A 20,232-nucleotide genomic window follows, 5' to 3' on the forward strand; every position below is an offset into this window, starting at 1 on the left:
ATGCCCTGGGCTTCAACAATAAAGTGGAGTAGTTGGCTCAACATAGTTCTTTCTATATGTAGTTATAAGGCTCAAAGGAGCAGTGAAAATGAAGTTAAAAGTTCTTCATAAATATAAGGAATTCATGTTCAAAGCAAATTCTTGACATTTATCATGTGTGAAATACTTAATGAATGATTGATTCCATGCTGTATAAAAACACCCTAAAGTTCTGTATTTTGGTTATCTGACCATTTCTTTTCAAATTTCATTTAATGTATTTGGGAAGAAAATGAATGACACCTAATATCTAGGCAGTTACAGTGACAGACTGAAAATGGAAATTGATATGTTTCCAGGGTCTCCATGTATGCATGTTTATATTTGCAAAGTATTATGGAGATGTCTTTTACATATAGTGTAAAAATCCTGTAATTTAGGAAACTAGAGTCAAATTAATTGAACTACAAATTAACTGAGTAGCTGACTTACAGTGAGCTGAAATTAATGGGACTAACAGTGTTTTATTATGGACTGGAAGCAGCATGTAAAAATAAAGTGACATTTGTAATCAGGTGGGTTTAAATCTCGGCTCCACCAATAACTATGTAATTTTGGACAAGTTATTGAGTGAGCCTCAGTTTGCTCACATGTAAAATGGGGATAATATCAATTTGGCCATTCTACTTTGTCATATACACTTTTTTATTCTACTGTGTGAGAATAAAATGTGATCATGAAACTCAAGTCAGAAAGATGATACGGAAGCAATTACAATAGAATGGGATAAAGGTTCCCACTAGCCTTCCCTTAGAAGGGGAGTCTTACCTAGAATGGGGTGGATGGTGGCAATCTTAATCCAGAGGCCAGTATATCAGTGTTTGATACTAATTTCTCTTCACTCTGCTGTCAATTTGCCCTAATTTCCAGTGGAACATTTTAATGAAAGATAGATAATATGTAACCCTAGAAACCAGCAGCCTATTTTATTATTTTAGAGATGAAGTCTTGCTATGTTGCCCAGACTGTGCTTGAACTCCTGGGCTCAAGAGATCTTCCCCTCTCAGCTTCCTGAGTAGCAGCTGGGACTACAGGTACACACCACTGTGTCCCACTCATACTTTATTCTAAAAATTTCCATGGTAGCTAGGACAAGCATACCTATAGTTAGGTGCTCAATAATGTTTCTAAAAGCTCAAAGATTCTGAGTATATCTTTCCTGAGTTACACCAAAGACACTCTTTACTACTCAGAGTAAGATTATATGATCACAGTGTACCATGTACCATGGTGGTACAAGTTCAGGAAATGATCTTTAGGACCTAGTCCCAGCTCTCTGAATTCTGCTGGCCAGGTTACCTTGGGCAAAATTTGCATCTTTATTTCTTTATCTGCTTATTTGTTTCATAAGTTTATAGTGAGAATCAAATGAGATATTTGAAAATGCTTTGTATATAAGCTTGACTATCAATAGAAGAATTAATATCAAATATGGGAGTTCAATGAAAGAAATTGAGATATATATATGTATATAGGTTAATACTACTGATAGTTAACAATATACAAATTTTAAAGGATTGAGAGAAGTCTTGCATAAAAGAAATTTTTATGTTTGTCTCAGGATGTTATGGGGGTGAGAAGGAGGAGTATGGAGTTGGGATAAGGAATAGGGTTGGCTGGAAAAGCTGCCACAGAATTTAGGAATTTAGGAGAACTCCAAGATGACCAGTTCTCTTCATTACTTTTGTTTCCTTATGAAGTCTCTTATGGAAAGGGTGAATCATTTGGTCATTACCTCTGATCCTGGTTACCTGGTTAAAATTCTCCATCTAATACTTTGGTTGGATTTGATGAAATAATTTTCTGTAGTAACTATTTGAGTTGCTTGTTTGGGATTTGCTGGTTTCCTTTTTTTTTTTTTTTTTTTTTTTTTTTGTCTAGGTGGCAGATTAGAACAACCCGGCTCAGGACCAGCCTATGAGCTCTCTTTGTTTTGTTGCTGCAGACTGGAGTCCTCCATATCACCAAACTGGGCAGTCAGGCTCACCAATCTGGTGTTAGCTAGAGAAATGCTTGGCGTTACAGGGTTTGGGTTTTAAATCATCGCAATAGTCAAGACTCTTTATTTGTAAGGAGCAGAAACTATCTTGGGCAATTTATTGTAAGGATGTGAGTATTTTGTGAAACCCAAGGGTAAAAGGACAACTGAGTCTAGGAAGATGAGGCCTGGAAGGCCATGAGAAATATCCTCACCCCATACCCTCGCCCTGTTATAGTTTCATTGTCTTATTTCTCAATCTTTTCCAAGACCAGTGTTCTCTGCATCTCTACACCACAAAGTTAATGTAACCACCTTATAGTTATAATTCCAGAGTCCTGCAAGATTAACTAGCAGTCTTGTAATTCCAAATTTAAATTACTAGGAGGGTCGGGTGCAGTGGCTCACGCCTGTAATCCCAACTTCAGGAGGCTGAGCCGGGCAGATCACTTGAGGTCGGGAGCTCAAGACCAGCCTGGCCAACATGGCGAAATCCTGTTTCTACTAAAAAAAAAAAAAAAAAAAAAAAAAATTAGCTGGGCGTGAGGGCACACACCTGTAATCCCAGCTACTCAGGAGGCTGAGGTGGGAGAATTGCCTGAACCCAGGAGGCGGAGGTTGCAGTGAGCCAAGATTGTGCCACTGTACTCCAGCCTTGGTGACAGAGTGAGACTCTGTCTCAAATAAATAAATAAATTAAATAAATAAATGAGTAGGAGAATCTCACATCTGACTGGTTCAGCTTGGTCCAGGTGTCTACCCCGGTCCATTCAACAGTGCTCAGGGGGATGAGAAACATTATAGTTAACTACAGGACTTTTGGAGACCTGTCACTATGAGAGGGAGGGGGCAGGGGACCCTGGAAGTTCTCTGAGAATGAAGAATTGCTATGATCTGGGAAAGCACCCCTAAAGATGCCTTAGTTACATTATTTTCCCTAAGGGAAGAGGCATTTTTAGTACAGGACAATGGGAAGTCATTAAATATATATCAATGGCTGTTTTTTTTTCTACTGTATCTACAGTCTATATATCCCCAGCACAGACCCAGGCTCTTGTTTCACACCCCCCCACAGAGAATTCCACACTGCACATAATTTCCTATCTTTGCTATATTTGAGATTTTGAGATGGGGAGCACATGGTTTTTTTTTTTTTTTTAAGTTTTGTCTTTATTGAGATCCTTATTTGTTGAATTATTGTCATTGCTTTTTTCCTTTAATTTTTTTAACTTTTAACTTCAGGAGTACACGTGCAGGTGTGTTACTGTGCCATGGGGGGTTGGTTGTACAGATTATTTCATCACCCAGGTATTAAGCCTAGTATCCACTAGTTATTTTTCCTGATCCTCTCCCTCCTCCCACCCTCCAGCCTCTGATAGGCCCCAGTGTGTGTTGTTCTTCTCTTTGTGTCTATGTGTTCTCATGGTTTAGCTCCCACTTGTAAGTGAGAACATGCGGTATTTGGTTTTCTGTTCCTGTGTTAGTTTGCTAAAGATAATGGCCTCCTTCTCCATCCAGTCCCTGCAAAGAACATGATGTGGCTCTTTTTATGGCTGCATAGTATTCCATAGTGTATATGTACCACATTTTCTTTATCCAGTCTATCACTGATGGGCACGCAGGTTGATTCCATGTCTTTGCTGTTGTGACCAGGGAAGCACATGTTTCAGTGCTCTTCTGCAACAACTGAACTGCATAGTGTTCAAGATCATCATTCCAGTCGTGTTTTCTGCTGCATGGGCATTCCTACCTGACTCTCTAACGCTATGCAAGGTTCCCCAAATGCCATGCTGTCTCATGCATGTCTTTGTTCCCCCGTTTTTTCCTTTTGTTTGCCTCAGTCTTTCTCCTCCCTGAAGGTTTATACTATCCTCCCCTCATCTAGGAAGCCCTCTCCCACTCCCATCTGCAGGCTCAGGTAGGTGTCCTTGTTTGTGCTCCCCCGGCCCTCTCTTGTGGGACTCACTGCACTGTAATGGACTCATTCATTTTCTGGTTGGTTTCTTTCTTCAAGGGGAATATCACAGTTCAACCTATATCACCAGTGCCTAAGAAGGGCCTGCTACCAGGTAGGTCCTCAAGAAAAGGAAGAAATGAATAAATGAATGAAATGAGCCTCACTTCTATATAGTCTTGGTTTATATTTTCTAGTCCCTATTATCAACAGTTCTACTGTAGAAGGTAAGAGCACAAGCTCTGATGTCAGACTTTCTGGGTCCATATCCTGTCTCTGCTCAGTTTCCTAGATGTGTGAACTTGAACAAGTTTACTTCACCTCTTTGTGCCTCAGTCTCCTCATCTGTGGATGGTATAATGACACTTCCTACCTCAGGGTCATTGTGGGGAATTGAATGAGTTAGTGCATGTTAAGTGCTTAAAGTCTGGCATGTAGATAATTCTCTATAAATCTTAGTTATTATTATTATCAAACATCTAAATCACCACAAGAAACTGCAGATCTAGGTATGCTTCCTGAGCAATACATTCTGCAGGAATGGTTAGTGCTCTCAGAAGTCATTGAGCCTCAGGAGAGATGGATGTGGTTTTTGCCTAGTATTTCTTCCGTTATGTGCTCTAAGAGATAAGGAACATAAGGATATGTTGGGCTGGAGGAATGGGTTAGAAGCTCCACCAGTGGATGCTTTCGGTAAGAGAGTATGTCTATCATGGTTTATTGTGATTGTATTTGCTTTTAATGAATAAGTGAGCTTTTTGAGGACAGGCAAATACTCGGTGGAATGATTAGACATGCGTATTCCTGGGGCCTTCCTGTTCTCAGTCTTGAGGGGTTATGATGGGAAGGTTGGTGACCAGAAATTGTCCTTTTAGAAACAAATGTCCTTTTAGAAACTATCCTAAATGTCCATCAACAGGTCAATGGAGATACAAAATTGTGTTATATCCTTACAACGAAGGATTACTCAACAAAAAAGAGAAAAGGAACAAACTACTGATACATGCTATGACATGGACAGACCTCAGAATCATTATAGTGAGTGGAAGAAGCCAGACACAAGCAACCATAGATTGTATGATTCTATTTACATGAAATGTCCAGAAAAGGCAAATCTATAGAGATAGAAAGTAGATTAGTTGTTGCAGGATATGGGATAGGAGATGAGGATTAACAGTGAAAATGAAGGATCTAGTTGGGGTGGAAATATTCTAAAATTGCTTTCTGGTGATGGTTACACAACTTGGTAAATTTATAAGAATCTGAATTGTCCACTTGAAATGGGTGAATTATTTGAAATGCAAAATATGTCTCAGTAAAGTATGTGTGGGGAGAAAGAGGGAGGGAGGGAGGGGGAGACAGAGAGAGAGAGCAAGAGAGAGAGAGAGACAAAGAGAGAGAGAGAGAGAAAAGGTTGGAGCCAGGCTGTTTGGATCTGAAACCTGGCTCTGCTACTTACTAGCTGTATGATCTCAGGTAAGTTTAACCTCTTTTTGTCTGAGTTTCCTGCCAGTAAAATTGGGGAAAATAAGAAGTTATTTACCACAGAGTCTTGCTGGGAAGATTGTGGTGATACTTAAAGAGTGCTTAACACAGAGCCAGGACCCTAGAAAGAACTCAAAAGATATTAGCAATATTTAGCCTACCAAGGATTCAGCACGGACTTAGTTGAACTTAATTCAAATTTTGGATAATTTGGACAGTGGCTTGCAGAGGATATTGACTGGTCTTGTGGAAATGACTCCTGGGGAGCCTGAGAGCCTATAGCCTATGATTTGTCAGTCGCATGCAGACTGGAGGATTGGAACACAGGAGCCTCAAAGATGAAGAGTTTTTTTTCCACCGCAGCAGCATTTACAGAGGCGTCATCCTGCTGCCCATAAATGTGGCCACAACTTGCAGCGTTTCAGCCCCAGTTCAACAAGTATTTAGGTAACGCCCACTCCCTGCCAGGCTCTGCTAGGGCAGAGGACAGGTGATTTGGAGGCACAGAGGAGGGACATCTCACCTTGCCCATGCAGTTTTCTAGAGGATTGATATCTTAGCATGACCTTAGAACCCCTAGAAGTTACCCAGTTGAAGGGGTGCAGAGAGTTACCCAGGCAGAGGGCATAGCTTGAGTAAAGCCCAGAGGCAATAGGGAGCTTGCTGAGTTCAGTGAAATGAGGATGTGGAAAGCAGAGTGACAAGAAGAAAGACTTAGGGTCCCAGGGAAAGGCCTTGTGTGCCATGATAAAGAATTGTATTGTAAATAGTGCTGCAATAAACATACGTGTGGATGTGTCTTTGTAGTAGAATGATTAGAATACATGGATACAGAGAGGGGAACATCACACACCGGAGCTGGTCAGGGGTTGGGGGGCAAGGAGAGGGAGAGCATTAGGACAAATACCTAATGCATGTGGGGCTTAAAACCTAGATGATGGGTTGATAGGTGCAGCAAACCACCATGGCACATGTATACCTATGTAACAAACCTGCATGTTCTGCACATGTATCCTGGAACTTAAAGTAAAAAAAAAAAAGTCCATCTAGAGGGAGAAAAGGGGAAAAAACAAAAATAATTTTATTTATCCTGAGGACAATGAGGAGTCAGTGGAGAGTTCTAAGCAGGTTCTAGATATCTTCCGGCTCAGAAATCTTCAATTAGATGGTCCCAAATGGCATCTACGTATCATACTTTGAGAGAGCCTGCTCTGTTGATTAGGAGCAAATAAATGTCCTCCTGGATGTATGTGGCCTGGGTTTTGCATTTGGGCTACTCAAATGCAAGTTCCTCGTGGGACCACATCCATGCTAGTGGCTGGCTGAAAAACGGCTTCATGACTCTCATGAGGGGAATAAAAGGCATGGAGTGGTGGCTGTGAGCCTGTCTGCAGGGCCAGACCTCAGAAAAGCAAAGGGCTGTAAATGTTTCATAAATTTCTCTCTGGGTGCCTGCTCTGGCTGAGAGCCCATTCATAAGCCCAGGCGGCTGAGGGGCAGGTATTGTGCCGGTTACTATAGCATCACCTTGGAAAGTCTCACTTGGTGAGAGCGGCAGGCGAGCTGGGGTGGGGCAGGAGGGGGACGCGGCTGGCTGGAGGGGCTGGAGCTAGGCCACGGATACTGCTGCTGGTCTCAGGACTCCTGGTGGTCCGGAGCTCATGTTAGCGTCCCCAGCTGCAGCCCAGGGAGGGAGAGAGGCTGCGCTCAGTCTGAGAGTGGCTGCCTGAGACAGCTGCCACAGGCTGCTGCAGAGCGTGCAGCTTTTGCAAGGGACTGAATTCCCAGCCAGACACCCCTTGGACTCTTTTTTGGAGGGGTGGGGAGCAGAGAGAGGAGGGAGTTGTCTTATCTTGGAAGATCCGAGCTGGGTTTCATCTCCTTTTTGATTTTGAGTAGTTCCCTCCACGAGAACTGACTTCCAGGTGTTCACCAAGGGAAACAAGGTGGTTCTCACACTGGAAATGAGGAAGGATGACAGTTTTTGAGACTGACTGTTAACGGCTCAGAGGTGCCCCTCATTCAAAATGCCTTTTAAAGCATTTGATACCTTCAAAGAAAAAATTCTGAAACCTGGGAAGGAAGGAGTGAAGAACGCCGTGGGAGATTCTTTGGGAATTTTACAAAGGTAAAGTTTGAATGCGAACTTTAGTTCCTTTCTGAGTAGCTTCGTATTGCCAATGTGTGAGAGACTTGGTATCACGTTTTTAAAACCACACTTTAATGAGGAGAGGATGGGTCAGATTAGATCCTTCTGGAGCCCCTTCTAGCTCCAGTAGTCTATGCCTGGAGGAAAAACAGATGCATGAATAGTATTGGGTTGTATTAGGAAAAGATCAAGACAAATATGCTGTTTATATAGCTGGATTAGCACTTTCTGGAGATGATGATATTGCATATGGTATGTTTGGCATTGAATTAGAAAATATTTAGGGAGATAATATTTTATGTTAACTCATTAGTAATGACAAATATGCCTTGAACTGAAATAATTTTTATGTTTTTCACTGAATCCACTATAAATGAAAATTAAATATTTGCAATTTTTAGCTTATTTAATAAAATACATAAAGTGGTTCCTGATTGTATAGTTTGCAAAGAGAAGGATAGTTACACATTAATTTGAAGGAAGTAACTTAAAAAATGTCTTTGAAGCAGAAAATCTCACATAATTGCAGTGGGAAAATGTTAAGTACTATCACTGAATTGAATGAGATTTTAGTCCAAACCAAAAAGTAAATATTTTTTAAAGTAAAATATATTAATGGAAGGAGAGTTTGCTATAAATGATTGAATTAATGTGACAGTTTAATTTATGAATTTTTATAGACATAGTAAATGCCTTCTCAAATTATATAAATGATTTCATAAGTGGTCCTTATGTGCAAGGTAAAATGACTGCTTTATCTCTCTGATATAAATAAATGTGAAAAATAACTTTGATACACTTTTTATTTGTTTGGATGATTATTTCTAATCCTGGTGAGTGAAAATGCCATCTGGTGTGTCCTTTTAACTTTTCTATTATCTCTTAAATTTAAAAACTTTTTCATTTAAATGACTATTTCCAGGCAATCTGAGATTCATCCCATTTCTTGTGTTTTAAAACACATATGCTCCTGTCAGTGTTAAATTTTCCATGGTATCACTGTTAATATTAACTTTCCTAATAAGAAAAAAGAGTTGGACACCTTATTATTTTAGTAATTAGAAACAAAAAAGCTTCAATCAGACCTACACTGAATTAGCATGTCTAGATGAAAACCTAGCTCAGTGACAGCAGCATAAACCAGCCAAATATAGAAAAAATTACAATAACATTTTTTTCAGAGTGTTTTATCCTTCCGTTGAGCACTCCCCAGGTAACGTCTTATTGTGTTGGCGTTCATTTGATTAGAAACGCAAAAATAATTTTTGCATAATAAGCACGATAGCTTAATTGGCTTATTCAAGTAATGACAAAGGAATCTGGCAAAGTCAAGAATAAAAACCATAGGCCGGGCGCAGTGGCTCACGCCTGTAATCCCAGCACTTTGGGAGGCGGAAGTGGGAGGATCGCTTGAGGCCAGAAGTTCGAGACTAGCCTGGGGAACATAGAGAGACCATGTCTCTACAGAAATACAAAAAATTAGCCAGCATGATGGTGCATGCCTGTCATCTCAGCTTCCCAAGAAGTGGGAGTATTGCTTGAGCCCAGACATTCAAGGTTGCAGCGAGCCAAGATTGCGTCTCTGCACTCCAGCTAGGGTGACAGAGTCAGACTCTGTCTCAAAAAATAAAAAAATAAAATAAATTTAAAAACCTATGACGTTGGGCCATAGTCACCATTATAAACAGCAAACTCTGCCTTCATTTATAAAATATTTGATATAAAAATACTTAGGAATTTTCTTTTCAACCTTAAGTTTAATTGCTTTTTGTGAAATTTGATTGCTTTTTTCAATAGGAATTATTGATCGAAGAGCCGGTTTTGCTATGTTTGATTGGAGGAGCTACATGGAGATCTTTTTGTTTACAAAATTGATTTGCTTAGGGATATAACAAAATTGGCGATTTTCCAAATTGTGTGACCTCAACCAGAAATTGGGCTATGTGTCTAGGACTGTTTGAATAGTTTCCTCAGAACAATAGAAAAACAGCTAGCACAGTACTAGGGACAGAGAATGCACTAAACAAATGCTAGATATTGTCATGGTTGTCCTAATTGTAGAATGGCTTTAGAAAAAATAAAGCCAAGGTCAAATCCCTTTTTTCAGTGATCTATAGAGAGAAATTATTGGCAGAAGAAACGAAAACAGACATTGCTTGAGCGGTGATCCAAGTTGATCCTCAGTTCTAGTGAGGAATTATCAAGACCAGCTCTGCCACGTGTTTGGCATTAATCACAGGTGTATAAGGTAATTGTATGTAAATGACCCTGCCCAGAGCCTGGCACATACTGGGCATTTCCCTCTCATTTCACTGCTTTTCACGTAAAACCAGTTGACAGAATCCCATGTAAAAAAATCACAAAGAACTGTTTTCTGTTTTGTAGGAGCTTTTGGAAGCTAGAAGCCCCTACATTGTAACTTAGAAGGCAATGTAAATCACAGCTGTCTAATAATGTTTGAGGCTGAGGTCATCATCTAAATGGAATTCTTGAGATGCTTTTTAATCACAGTGTTCCTCACAGTCAGGGGAGTGGCAATTGCACAGGGAAGCATTTGAGAGTTCGCACACAGGCTTGATTACAGTCAGGCATGATTAGCTTTCCTGGAAAACAGTCATTGATAAGAAGCAGCTGAGCAATTAATCAGCTAAAGGTAAAATAATATTTTAGAAGTGCAGGAAGAAAGAAGATGCACTCATTTATAGTTTAGTATTGAATTATATAGATGACATAGAAAGCATTAAACTTGGAAACTAATGTCCAGAAAGTGACATGCAGATTTGTTCAATTTAAATTACAATTTATGTGTCCTTTAATTGTTCATGTCTAAAAAACATAACAGTGACAAAACAGTATCTTTCAGACACTGTAAACTCATTTAATTCTATTAAAATCCCCATGAAGAGGGGATTACTATAATTACAACTTTTCTTTTTTTTGGGATAGGGTCTCACTCTGTTGCCTAGGCTGGAGTGCAGTGATGTGATCATAGCTCACTGCAGCCTCAAACTCCTGGCCTCAAGCCATACTGCCTCCTTGGCCTCCCAAAGTGCTAGGATTACAGGCATGAGCCACAGCATCTAGCAATAATTTTACAGATGAGAAAACTGAGGCACAGAGAGGTTAAGTAGCTTGCCCAAGGTCACACAGCTATAAATGGAAGAGCTAGGTTTCAAACCAGATGTTCTATGCCCATCATTCTTAATCACTACATTATGTTACCCCTGTAATCAAGTGTCTTTCCTCTTCCCACTCACTGTCTTGATATTGGGCCACTTATTTAGGTTTAGGGAGGTCTACTTGGACTGCAATGTAGCCAGCAACTTCTGGATCTGCTGTCAAGTGTGGGCTATTCTCCTAATCAGTTGCATCTTTATTGAAGGCTTTCTCCAAGGGAGGCTTAAGGGGAGTCTGGTCTCCTTACAAGTATGTCTATCTTCCCTTTAAATGAAACTAGTCCCTGCATCGTGTCTGTCTTCAGCATTCAGGAGTGTGCCAGATATGCACTTCCTGCTCCATCAACAAAGGTGAGTGTGTTAAAGCTTGCTCTGAGATCAGGTGATCCTGGGTTCCAACTGCTGCAACATCCTTTACTTCCCTGCCTGCATGACCTCAGGCAACTTGGCTGCAATGGGGTGACTCTAGGAAACCAAGTCAGATCACATCTCACCCCTGCTCAAAACTACCTCACTCAGAGTTAAAGCCAGTGCCCTTTCAATGGCCTTCAAGGTCCTCTGTGATCTAGGACTTTTGGAAGGCTCTCTGAGTTCATCTGTGACATTTTCCTGCCTCACTCTACTCTGGATTCACCGGCCTCCTGGCTCTTATTAGAACTCCCCAGATTCACTCCTGTCCCGGCTTTCGCCCTGTTTCTTTTGCTTAAATGCTTTCCTCCCAGATAGCCTGATGGCTCATTCCCTCGCTTTCTTCAAGTATGTGCTCAAAGATCCCCACTTTCCTGGCCATTCTATTTAAACATGAAGCTCACCTGCCCTCCTCCTCCTGCCCTCTTCTCTGTCCCTCTTTCCTGCTTTACTTCACCTCTGTCTTAGGTAGGTTCCCTAAAAAGCACAGCCTGAGACAGGGATTTGGGTGAGCCTAGAATGTGATTTAATGAGCTCTTCCTGAAAAAACTGGGAGGGAGTAAAACAAGAAGGGAAAGGAGAGGCTGGGTGTGGTGGCTCATGCCTATAATCCTAGCATTTTGGGAGTCCGAGGCAGGCAGATTGCCTGAGCTCAGGAGTTTGAGACCAGCCTGGGCAACATGGTGAAACCTGTCTCTACTAAAAGACAAAAAATGAGCCAGGCATAGAGGCATGTGCCTATAGTCGTAGCTACTCAGGAGGCTGAGGCAGGAGAATTGCTTGAATCCGGGAGGCAGAGGTTGCAGTGAGCCGAGATCACACCACTGCACTCCAGCCTGGACGACAGAGGGAGACTCCATCTCCAAAAAAAACAAAACAAAAAAAAACAGAAAGGAGAAAGAGCCAAGCAAGGATGCATGCTCACAATGCCCAGTGGCCAGATCCAAAGGGGAAGGCTCTGGAGCACAAGCGATGTGCTGAGTCCTTCCTTTGGGGCAAGTGGGGCAGCCTTTTATATCTCTGCCTCAGTCAGTCATCAGCTCTGGGCTGATGGGGGTGGGTGAGGGGTTTATTTGGAGGCCACTGAGCAGTGGGAAGTTCTCCAGGGTTCCTCATGCCAGGACTAGAAGCCCAGGCAAGGAGTCACCATGGTGGCAAGGGTCATGGGTCCTGATCCTCAGGAGGAACCAGAACTGTCACCTCATCACGGGAGCAGGAAGAGATGTGTTTGGCACTGAGGTGGTCCACTCGGACATCTCCTGATACTGCCTGGGCTAGTTTTATTTATTTTTTTATTTTAATTTTTAAAATAATAGAGATGGGGGTCTCACCATGTTGATTAGGCTGGTCTTAAACTCCTGGGCTCAGGAGATCTTCCTGCCTTGGCCTCCCAAAGTGCTAGAATTACAGGCATGAGCCACCGCACCCTGCCTAGTTTTAACTGCAAATGGGAAAATACAGCAACCGTGACCTGCTAGCAGCTCTGGAAGTAGAAGTGTGCTTGCCCATCAAGGGGAACTGGGGAGTGTGCTATGGTGTCTATGACAGCCCACCCACTGCACCGCTCAGATCAACTTGCTTCTCACATGAAGTTCACTCCATCCAGGTACAGCTTCTCCAAGACTCTATGGTTGTAATTCCTGAGGAGCCTTCCAAAGAAGAGTTATTAAGACAGACTCCAGGCCCCACTGTGATGACTGGTCCCTCCTCTCCACCCCTTTTTGATTTCCCTCACTTCTGTTTGCTTGTCTGATGGGTTGCCCCAGATCTTCATCCCTGAGAGGTCTAAATCCCTGGTTAACATAACCTCACCAGGTCATGGTTGCTGTATTTGCCCACTGACAGTTAAAAACTAGCCAAGGCAGTATCAGGAGATGTCCCAGCAGATCATCTGGGTGCCAAACATATTTCTTCCTGCTCCCATGATGAAGCGACAGTTCTGATTCCTCCTGAAGATTAGGATCCATGACCCTTATCACTGTAGTGACTTCTTACCATGTCTTCTGGTCTTGGCACGAGGACCCCAAAGTGACTGAGCAGCAGTCGTAACCATATGTTGACTAGGATTTCCATTGTGTTCCTAAATGGAAGAATTCTTCCTTGTGAATCGGGATTTCTAGCTCCTCAGAGCCTAAGCTGAAGAGATGAGATATTCCTCAGGTGGGTTACTGGGAATGATGGCGAGTGGGGCCACTCCTTCTCTCATGCCTTGTTTCTTTGACCTGTGTGTTCTGCCCACTGGGCACACAGCACCATATCATAACTGTTGGGTTTTTTGTTTGTTTGTTTGGGATGGAGTCCCACTCTGTCGCCCAGGCTGGATGCAGCGGCTTGATCTCAGCTCACTGCAACCTCTGCCTCCTGGGTTCAAGCAATTCTCCTGCCTCAGCCTCCTGAATAGTGGGATTACGGGCACCCACCACCATGCCCGGCTAATTTTGTATTTTTAGTAGAGATGGGGTTTCGGTATGTTGGTCAGGCTGGTTTCAAACACCTGACTTCAAATGATCCACCCGCCTTGGCCTCCCAAAATGCTGGCGTTACAGGTGCATAACTGTTGATTTATGGAATATACTGCATCCTGGAAGATAGCACCTTACCCTCCCAGGGTTTCATCTCCAAGCTGATGTCGCAGCTGCATCTTTAAGAAGCTTCTTCAGAGGCCAGGTGCCATGGCTCACACCTGTAATCCCAGCACTTTGGGAGGCCAACGCAGATGGATCATTTGAGGTCAGGAGTTGGAGACCAGCCTGGTCAACATGGTGAAACATATATTTTCTACTAAAAATACAAAAAATTGCCAGGCGTGGTGGTGGGCACCTGTAATCCCAACTACTCAGGAGGCTGAGGCAGGAGAATTGCTTGATTAAACCCAAGGGGGAAGAGGTTGCAGTGAGCTGAGATAGAGCCACTGCACTCCAGCCTGGGTGATAGAACAAGATTCCATCTCAAAAAAAAAAAAAAAAAAAAAAGCTTCTTTAGCTCTGGCAGGCTGTCAGCTTCTGGATGGTGTGGTATATGGTGGGGCTTGTGCATCCCATTGTCATGTGCCCACTGCTATGCCATCTTCACCATAAATTGGGTGTTTTGGTCTGAAAAAATGTGATGTGAGATCCCATGTTGAGAAATCAGACACTGAATCCTCAGATAGTGATGTTGGCTGAGACTTGTAGTCTGAATAGGCAAACTCATACATGGAATATTTCAACCCCAGTCAGGATGAATTGCTACCCTTTCCAGGATGGAAGGGGTCTGTTACAAACAACTTCTGACCAAGAGACTGGTTTGTCCCCTCAGGAATTGTGCCATCTCAGGGGCTCAGCATTAGTCTTGTTGCTGACCGCAGCAGGAGCTAGCTCAGTCCTGGTGAGTGGGAGCTCCGACATAGCCTCCATCCCTGCTGCCATGGTTACTCTGTTCATAAGTGCACTGCTCTAGCACTGGGTGGCTGAGGACGGAAGCTAGCTGACATCAACTGGCCAAGTCAGCCTGCCTATCGTCTGTTTTGTGCCTCTTCCAAGTGGCATGTGATAATGTGCAATCAGGAGAGCTCATACTAGGCATCCACTCATAGATTGATCCACATCTCTTCCCCAGATCTTTTTCCCAGTCCTCCAATATTGCTTTAAATGTCCCCTGACCTCCAGTGAGGTCATTCACCACTGCCTATGAGTCCATGTATATCCTTACCTTTGAATGTTTCTCTTTTCATACAAAATGTGTGGCCAGGAGACTGCTCAAAACTCTGCCTATTGGGAGGCTTTCCCCCTCACTGTCCTTCAGGGCCATCCCTGGGTGGGCTGAAGTATAGCAGCAGTCCATTTGCAACATGCTCTAACATACCAAATTGACCAGCTCTGGACCAAACTAAGTTTTTTTTCCTCCTGTAATTTGTTCACAGGTGTGAGCTCATGGAGAGGCATTGGTATAGTAGATATAGGTCAGGTGGAAAACTGGCCCCTCTGACATGGGATTACTTGTGTCCTGTGGCCCTGCTGGTGTTAGATTCCAGATGGACCACTTCCGTCTTATGATGGACAGTTGGACTTCTCAGGTCTGATAGAACCTAGCTCCTGATGGGTCGTTTTGGCTGCATGGTCTCTTGATATTCCATGGTCAGATGCTGTGTCTCCACCAGGACTCAGTAACATGCCATGAGATGTTTTTTGTCTGTTGTATATTTCTCTACTATAGATGACAAGGCCTTGTCCCAGAATCCTAAGGCTCTATGCTATATTTCTCCTATTGAGTTTTGCCAGAAACCTCATATAGTGTCTTTTCCTATTCAGATGACTTTAGTACCAAGGGTATGCTGGAGAATACAGCCCTAGTGGCAAGATCACCCTTATTGCAGCCTAGACTTGCTACAGAACATTTTCTTGTTTTTGGATTTCATTAAAAACCAGCAGCCTTTTATGTCATGGAATAAGTGGGTTAGAACAATATTCCCAAGTGTTGAATACACTGCCTCAAAAACCCAAAGAGGTCTGCCAACCATTGTGCTTCTTCCTTAGTGGCAGGAAGTTCAAAGCACAATAACTTTTCCTTCACTTTGAAGGGAATGTTCTGGAATGTCTCAAACACTAGACTCCTGTGAACTTCGCCCACGTGATGGACCTGTGATCTTTGTAGCAATTATTTCTGGAGCACACATGTCTTACTGAGGCATCCAGAGTACTTGTCAATTCTTGCTCCTGAGGTCTAAATAACATAATGTCATCTATTGGTCATAATAGATCAATGTGATGTTCTGCAGCAGGTCCAGAAGGTCTCTCTGACTATATTATGAGAGAGAACAATCCACGGATATATACTGTCATTCATCTCATGTCATTGTGAATTTCTTAGCCTCCTTTCTAATGGATATGGAAAGAATGCACCAGATCAAGACAGGCAAGCTATGTACATGAGTTAAGAGTGTGGTAGTTCCCTGTCATCCACCGTGATCCCTTCTTTTTTTTTTTTTTTTTTTTTTTTTCAGGGGGTAGGCTGGTGAATTACCTTGGGATCCAATGGGGGCTACCACCCCTGCATCCTTTAAATCTCTGAAGGTGCAATAATCTCTGTCATTCTGCATAATATAATACTGTTTTTGATTTATCTTCTTACACAGGGATGACAGTTTTAAGGACTTCCATTTGACTTTTTTCTATTACAATAGCTTTTATTCTACAAGTCAAGGAACCACGGAAAGCGTTTTCCAAATGCTAGGTGTCTCTCTTCCAATTATACATGTGGGAATTATACATGGGGGAATGACCACTGGATGGGTCCATGGACATGAACTCACTATGAGACGATCCTGTGCCAGGACTCCACTTATTACCTGACCCTTATAAGCCCCACTCTAATGGAGGAAGAATAGTGCTATAAATCTCTGAGTATCAACATCAATTTGCCCCTTTATCCAAAAGTCTGCAAAAGATAGAGGTATTTCTCTTTCTTCAGTGTATGTTTACCCAAATTAATGGTGGTAGAGTCCTTTGGGGAAGGACTGTGGGCATCATGACTGCATTTCCTTCTGTGGTGTTGCAGGTTCCTTAGTCACGGAACCTTCGGTCTTCTCCTTCAGTCTTTGGATTCTGGCCTAGAAACTGGGCAAGAGAGTGTGACTTTCCACTGGGGTGGCCAGCCTCAGCCTACTGCCCATTCATCAGCTCTTTATCTTTTCTGGTTTTATGTATATGAAGCAATACCCTTATTGGCTGCCCATTTTATTTTTGTTCCTTGGAGCACCATGTTCTGTGAGTCATCTCTGAGATTCCTATGGGCTGATTCCCTAACTGTAGTTCTGAATTTTCTGCCCTTACCTATGATGGTTAAGTGCTCCCAATCATCCCAATTGCCACTGGTTCTGGAGCAGCACCTTCTACTGTGAGCCTCAGCCAGAAGAGGACAGCAGCTTCTGAGCATCAGTGGTGCCTGTGGCCCCATCACCACTGCATTCCTTATTATCTTAAGAGCAGGAGTATTCCTCAGGCCTCCTGAGAAATATAGTTCGTTTGTGGGTTTTCTGGTCTTATATAGAAAATCCATTCCTGCATAGTCATTTATTTGAGGCTTTTGATCTTTCTTTATAATCTGCTGTAACAGTTCCCAACATTTCTCATTTTTAAAGAAAATAAGTTAAAGAGAGACCTTTTAATTGATCAAGAGTGTGATCAACATTAAAGATATAACAATTATGGAATTCTTATATTCCAAATAATAGAGATCAAAACTTTACTTAAAGGAATAGAAGATAGCCAATTTAATTATCAGTAATTCATCGCTATGACTGGTTCAAATTCAGCAATTTTTATACCAGGCATTAAAAAATGAAATAGGCTTGTAAATTAGGTTTATATAACAATGAAGGAAAAGAGAGGATGTAGACCTGGACCAACCAAAATAAGGACACTCTTGTGGCCTTAGGCATTCTCTCCTGGAATGGATAATTTTTTATTCTTTTATTTATTTATTTATTTATTTGAGACAGGGTCTCACTCTGTCACCTAGGCTGGAGTGCAGTGGCACAATCATACCTCACGGCAGCCTCAACCTCCCAGGCTCAAGTGATCCTCCCACCTCAGCCTCCTGAGTAGCTGAGACTACAGTTGCGAGCCACCATGCTTGGCTAATTTTTAAAATATTCTGTAGAGACGAAGGTCTCGCTATGTTGCCTAGAATGGTCTCGAACTCCTGGGCTCAAGCCATCCTCCCACCTCAGCCTGCCAAATTGCTGGGATTACAGGCGTGAACCCCTGTGCCCAGCTTTCAAGTTATTTTTTTTAAAAGTCATGGTGGCCATATCCTGTATCTCTGTGTATAATGTAATAATGACTAGAAATTAGTACAGAATTATATTTTAAAAGTCACCAGGCTACTCTGGACATATCTATTTTGTTTAAGTTTCCAAGAACCGTATTAGCAGTTTATCAGGATCATTTCTCTTAAGGCCTTTGCCGGGATGTTAGACCCTGTGTCATGGGACCATGCCCCCTTTATTAGTTTCCTAGGGCTGCTGTAACAAAGTACCACAAACTAGGTAGCTTAAAACAACAGAAACTTATTCTCTCACAATTCTGGAGACCAGAAGTCCAAACCCAAGGTGTTGGCAGGGCCAAGCTCCTCCTGAAGGCTCTTAAGGAGGCCTCATGCTTGCCTCTTGCTGGCTGCTGGTAGCTGCTGGGAATCCCAGGCGTGCCTTGGCTTGTGGATGCATTGCTCCAATTGCTGCATTTGTTGTCACATGGTCTTCTCCCCTGGTGTCTGTGTCTATGATTTCAAATTCCCCTCTTCTTATAAGGACACCAGTCATGAAATCAATCTATTATGACCTCATGTTAACTTGATTACATCTGTGAAGACTCCATTTCCAAATAAGGCTACATTCACAGGTATCGGGGGTTAGAACATCAACATATCTATTTTGGAGGACAGAATTCAATCTACCTCCCATATTGATGAACTCTCCCTTATCCAACTTTATTACCCTACTCCCTCCAAATCTAGTACATTCAGGATCCATTCCCGGGCATACTTTCCTGCTTCTTGATGTAAATGTTCATCAGATTCTACGACTCCTGCTCCCAGTATCTTTTCTTAGCTCAAAAGTGTATTTTCTCATCTAAAGTTTATATTCTCTCCTTTTACAACTTCTCCCAAGTACTTTTACAACAATCAAATTTTCTAAGTGCTTCTTAAAGGTTAGTAAGGCCTATAGATTCAATACCTACAGAGTAAAGCAACCATATTATATATTTTGACATAGACACACTACATATTAACACATAGAAATAGGCTCCACTTCTGCAAGGAAATATGTTGTATCATTCAAAGTTCTTAGCTGCAATCAACAGAATACACTCTAGCTAAAGTGGAATGAAATTTCGTAAAGAATGTTAAGAATTGGGCTGGGGGCAATGGCTCATCCCTGTAATCCCAGCACTTTGGGAGGCCAAGGCAGGGAGAGGATCACCTGAGGTCTGGAGTTTGAGACCAGCCTGGCCAACATGGTGAAATCCCATCTCTACTAAAACTACAAAAATTAGCCAGGCATGGTGGTACGTGCCTGTAATCCCAGCTACTCAGGAGGCTGAGGCAGGAGAACTGCTTGAACCCAGGAGGCAGACGTTGCAGTGAGCCGAAATCCCACCACTGCACTCCAGCCTGGGCAACAGAGCAAGACTCCATCTCAAAACCATAAATTAATAAAAAATAAAAGAATGTTAGGAATTGTTCAGACTTCCTGGAAGGATCAGGTCTGGATGCTGTATTCTCCAGGAAAAAGCAGCAGAGAACATATACTTCTAGACTGTTCTGGATAAAACACAGCTGCCACCACTGCCTGCTTCTAAGTGTTGATTATATTGATGACTTGTTCCAGAAATTCTGCCACAGCAGTCACAGAGGAGCCAGTTGCCTCTGTTGCATTTGAAACCATCTGCACTGCCATTCCCCTGCATGCTGTATCCTCTTCTTGTTCTGTCCCGTATCTAAATCTCATTCAAGTGCTTTGGATTTAGCAGAGTCCACCTCTCATGCCTGCATTGTAGCTGCAAGAGAGCCTAGGAAAAGTAGGTGTTTTTTTTGTTTTTGTTTTTGTTGTTTTTTATTTTGTTTTGTTTTTGCTGCTCCAGCAAGATTCAAAATATCAAGAATTCATTAAGATATTGGACAGCTATAAATGATGGTTGTCTGCTACATATGTGTGCTACTAGTCTAATTTTTATTTTTCAACTTTTGATACAGACATGGGTACAAAACATATTTTTCTAATGTCTTGATTTTAACTACTAGAAAAGTAACAGTGCAAGTATAACGTTAAATGGCAACTGAGCTCACTATGGAAGTGACAATAGGGAGTGGTGGGGACTGTGGTAAATTGAGAGCCAATTGTAGCCATGACAGAGTGAGAGCTTGATTATTTCAGGTCTTCAGATTTTTCAAAATGAACAAGAAATCCAAAGTTTTATATGTTTGCTTGTTTCTGCTTTTTTGAGCTATCTCCTGATATTTATTTATTTTTTTATTTATTTAATACAATTTTTAAAAGTAGAGA

At 42.1% G+C, this 20,232-nt stretch overlaps 1 protein-coding gene across 2 annotated transcripts in view, besides 2 other annotated features; it reads left to right on the forward strand.

The window, feature by feature from the left end:
- Positions 6,616-7,116: an enhancer, noted in NCBI's record as "H3K4me1 hESC enhancer chr12:100750302-100750802 (GRCh37/hg19 assembly coordinates)". NCBI's record gives its function as "activates a minimal SCP1, AML or CMV promoter by ChIP-STARR-seq in naive H9 embryonic stem cells {active_cell/tissue: H9 hESC(naive)}" and the evidence as "EXISTENCE:reporter gene assay evidence [ECO:0000049][PMID:30033119]".
- Positions 7,117-7,617: an enhancer, noted in NCBI's record as "H3K4me1 hESC enhancer chr12:100750803-100751303 (GRCh37/hg19 assembly coordinates)". NCBI's record gives its function as "activates a minimal SCP1, AML or CMV promoter by ChIP-STARR-seq in naive H9 embryonic stem cells {active_cell/tissue: H9 hESC(naive)}" and the evidence as "EXISTENCE:reporter gene assay evidence [ECO:0000049][PMID:30033119]".
- The window catches only part of SLC17A8 (solute carrier family 17 member 8), a 64,982-nt gene continuing 51,915 nt past the window's right edge, over positions 7,166-20,232 (forward strand). For both annotated transcript variants that reach the window (NM_139319.3, NM_001145288.2), the window contains exon 1: positions 7,166-7,584. In NM_139319.3, coding sequence (NP_647480.1) covers positions 7,484-7,584 — 101 coding nt within the window. In that variant the 5' untranslated portion in view covers positions 7,166-7,483. The remainder of the gene's footprint in view (positions 7,585-20,232) is intronic.

This window comes from Homo sapiens, chromosome 12 (genome assembly GCF_000001405.40).
Source record: "Homo sapiens chromosome 12, GRCh38.p14 Primary Assembly".
Lineage (NCBI taxonomy): Eukaryota > Metazoa > Chordata > Mammalia > Primates > Hominidae > Homo > Homo sapiens.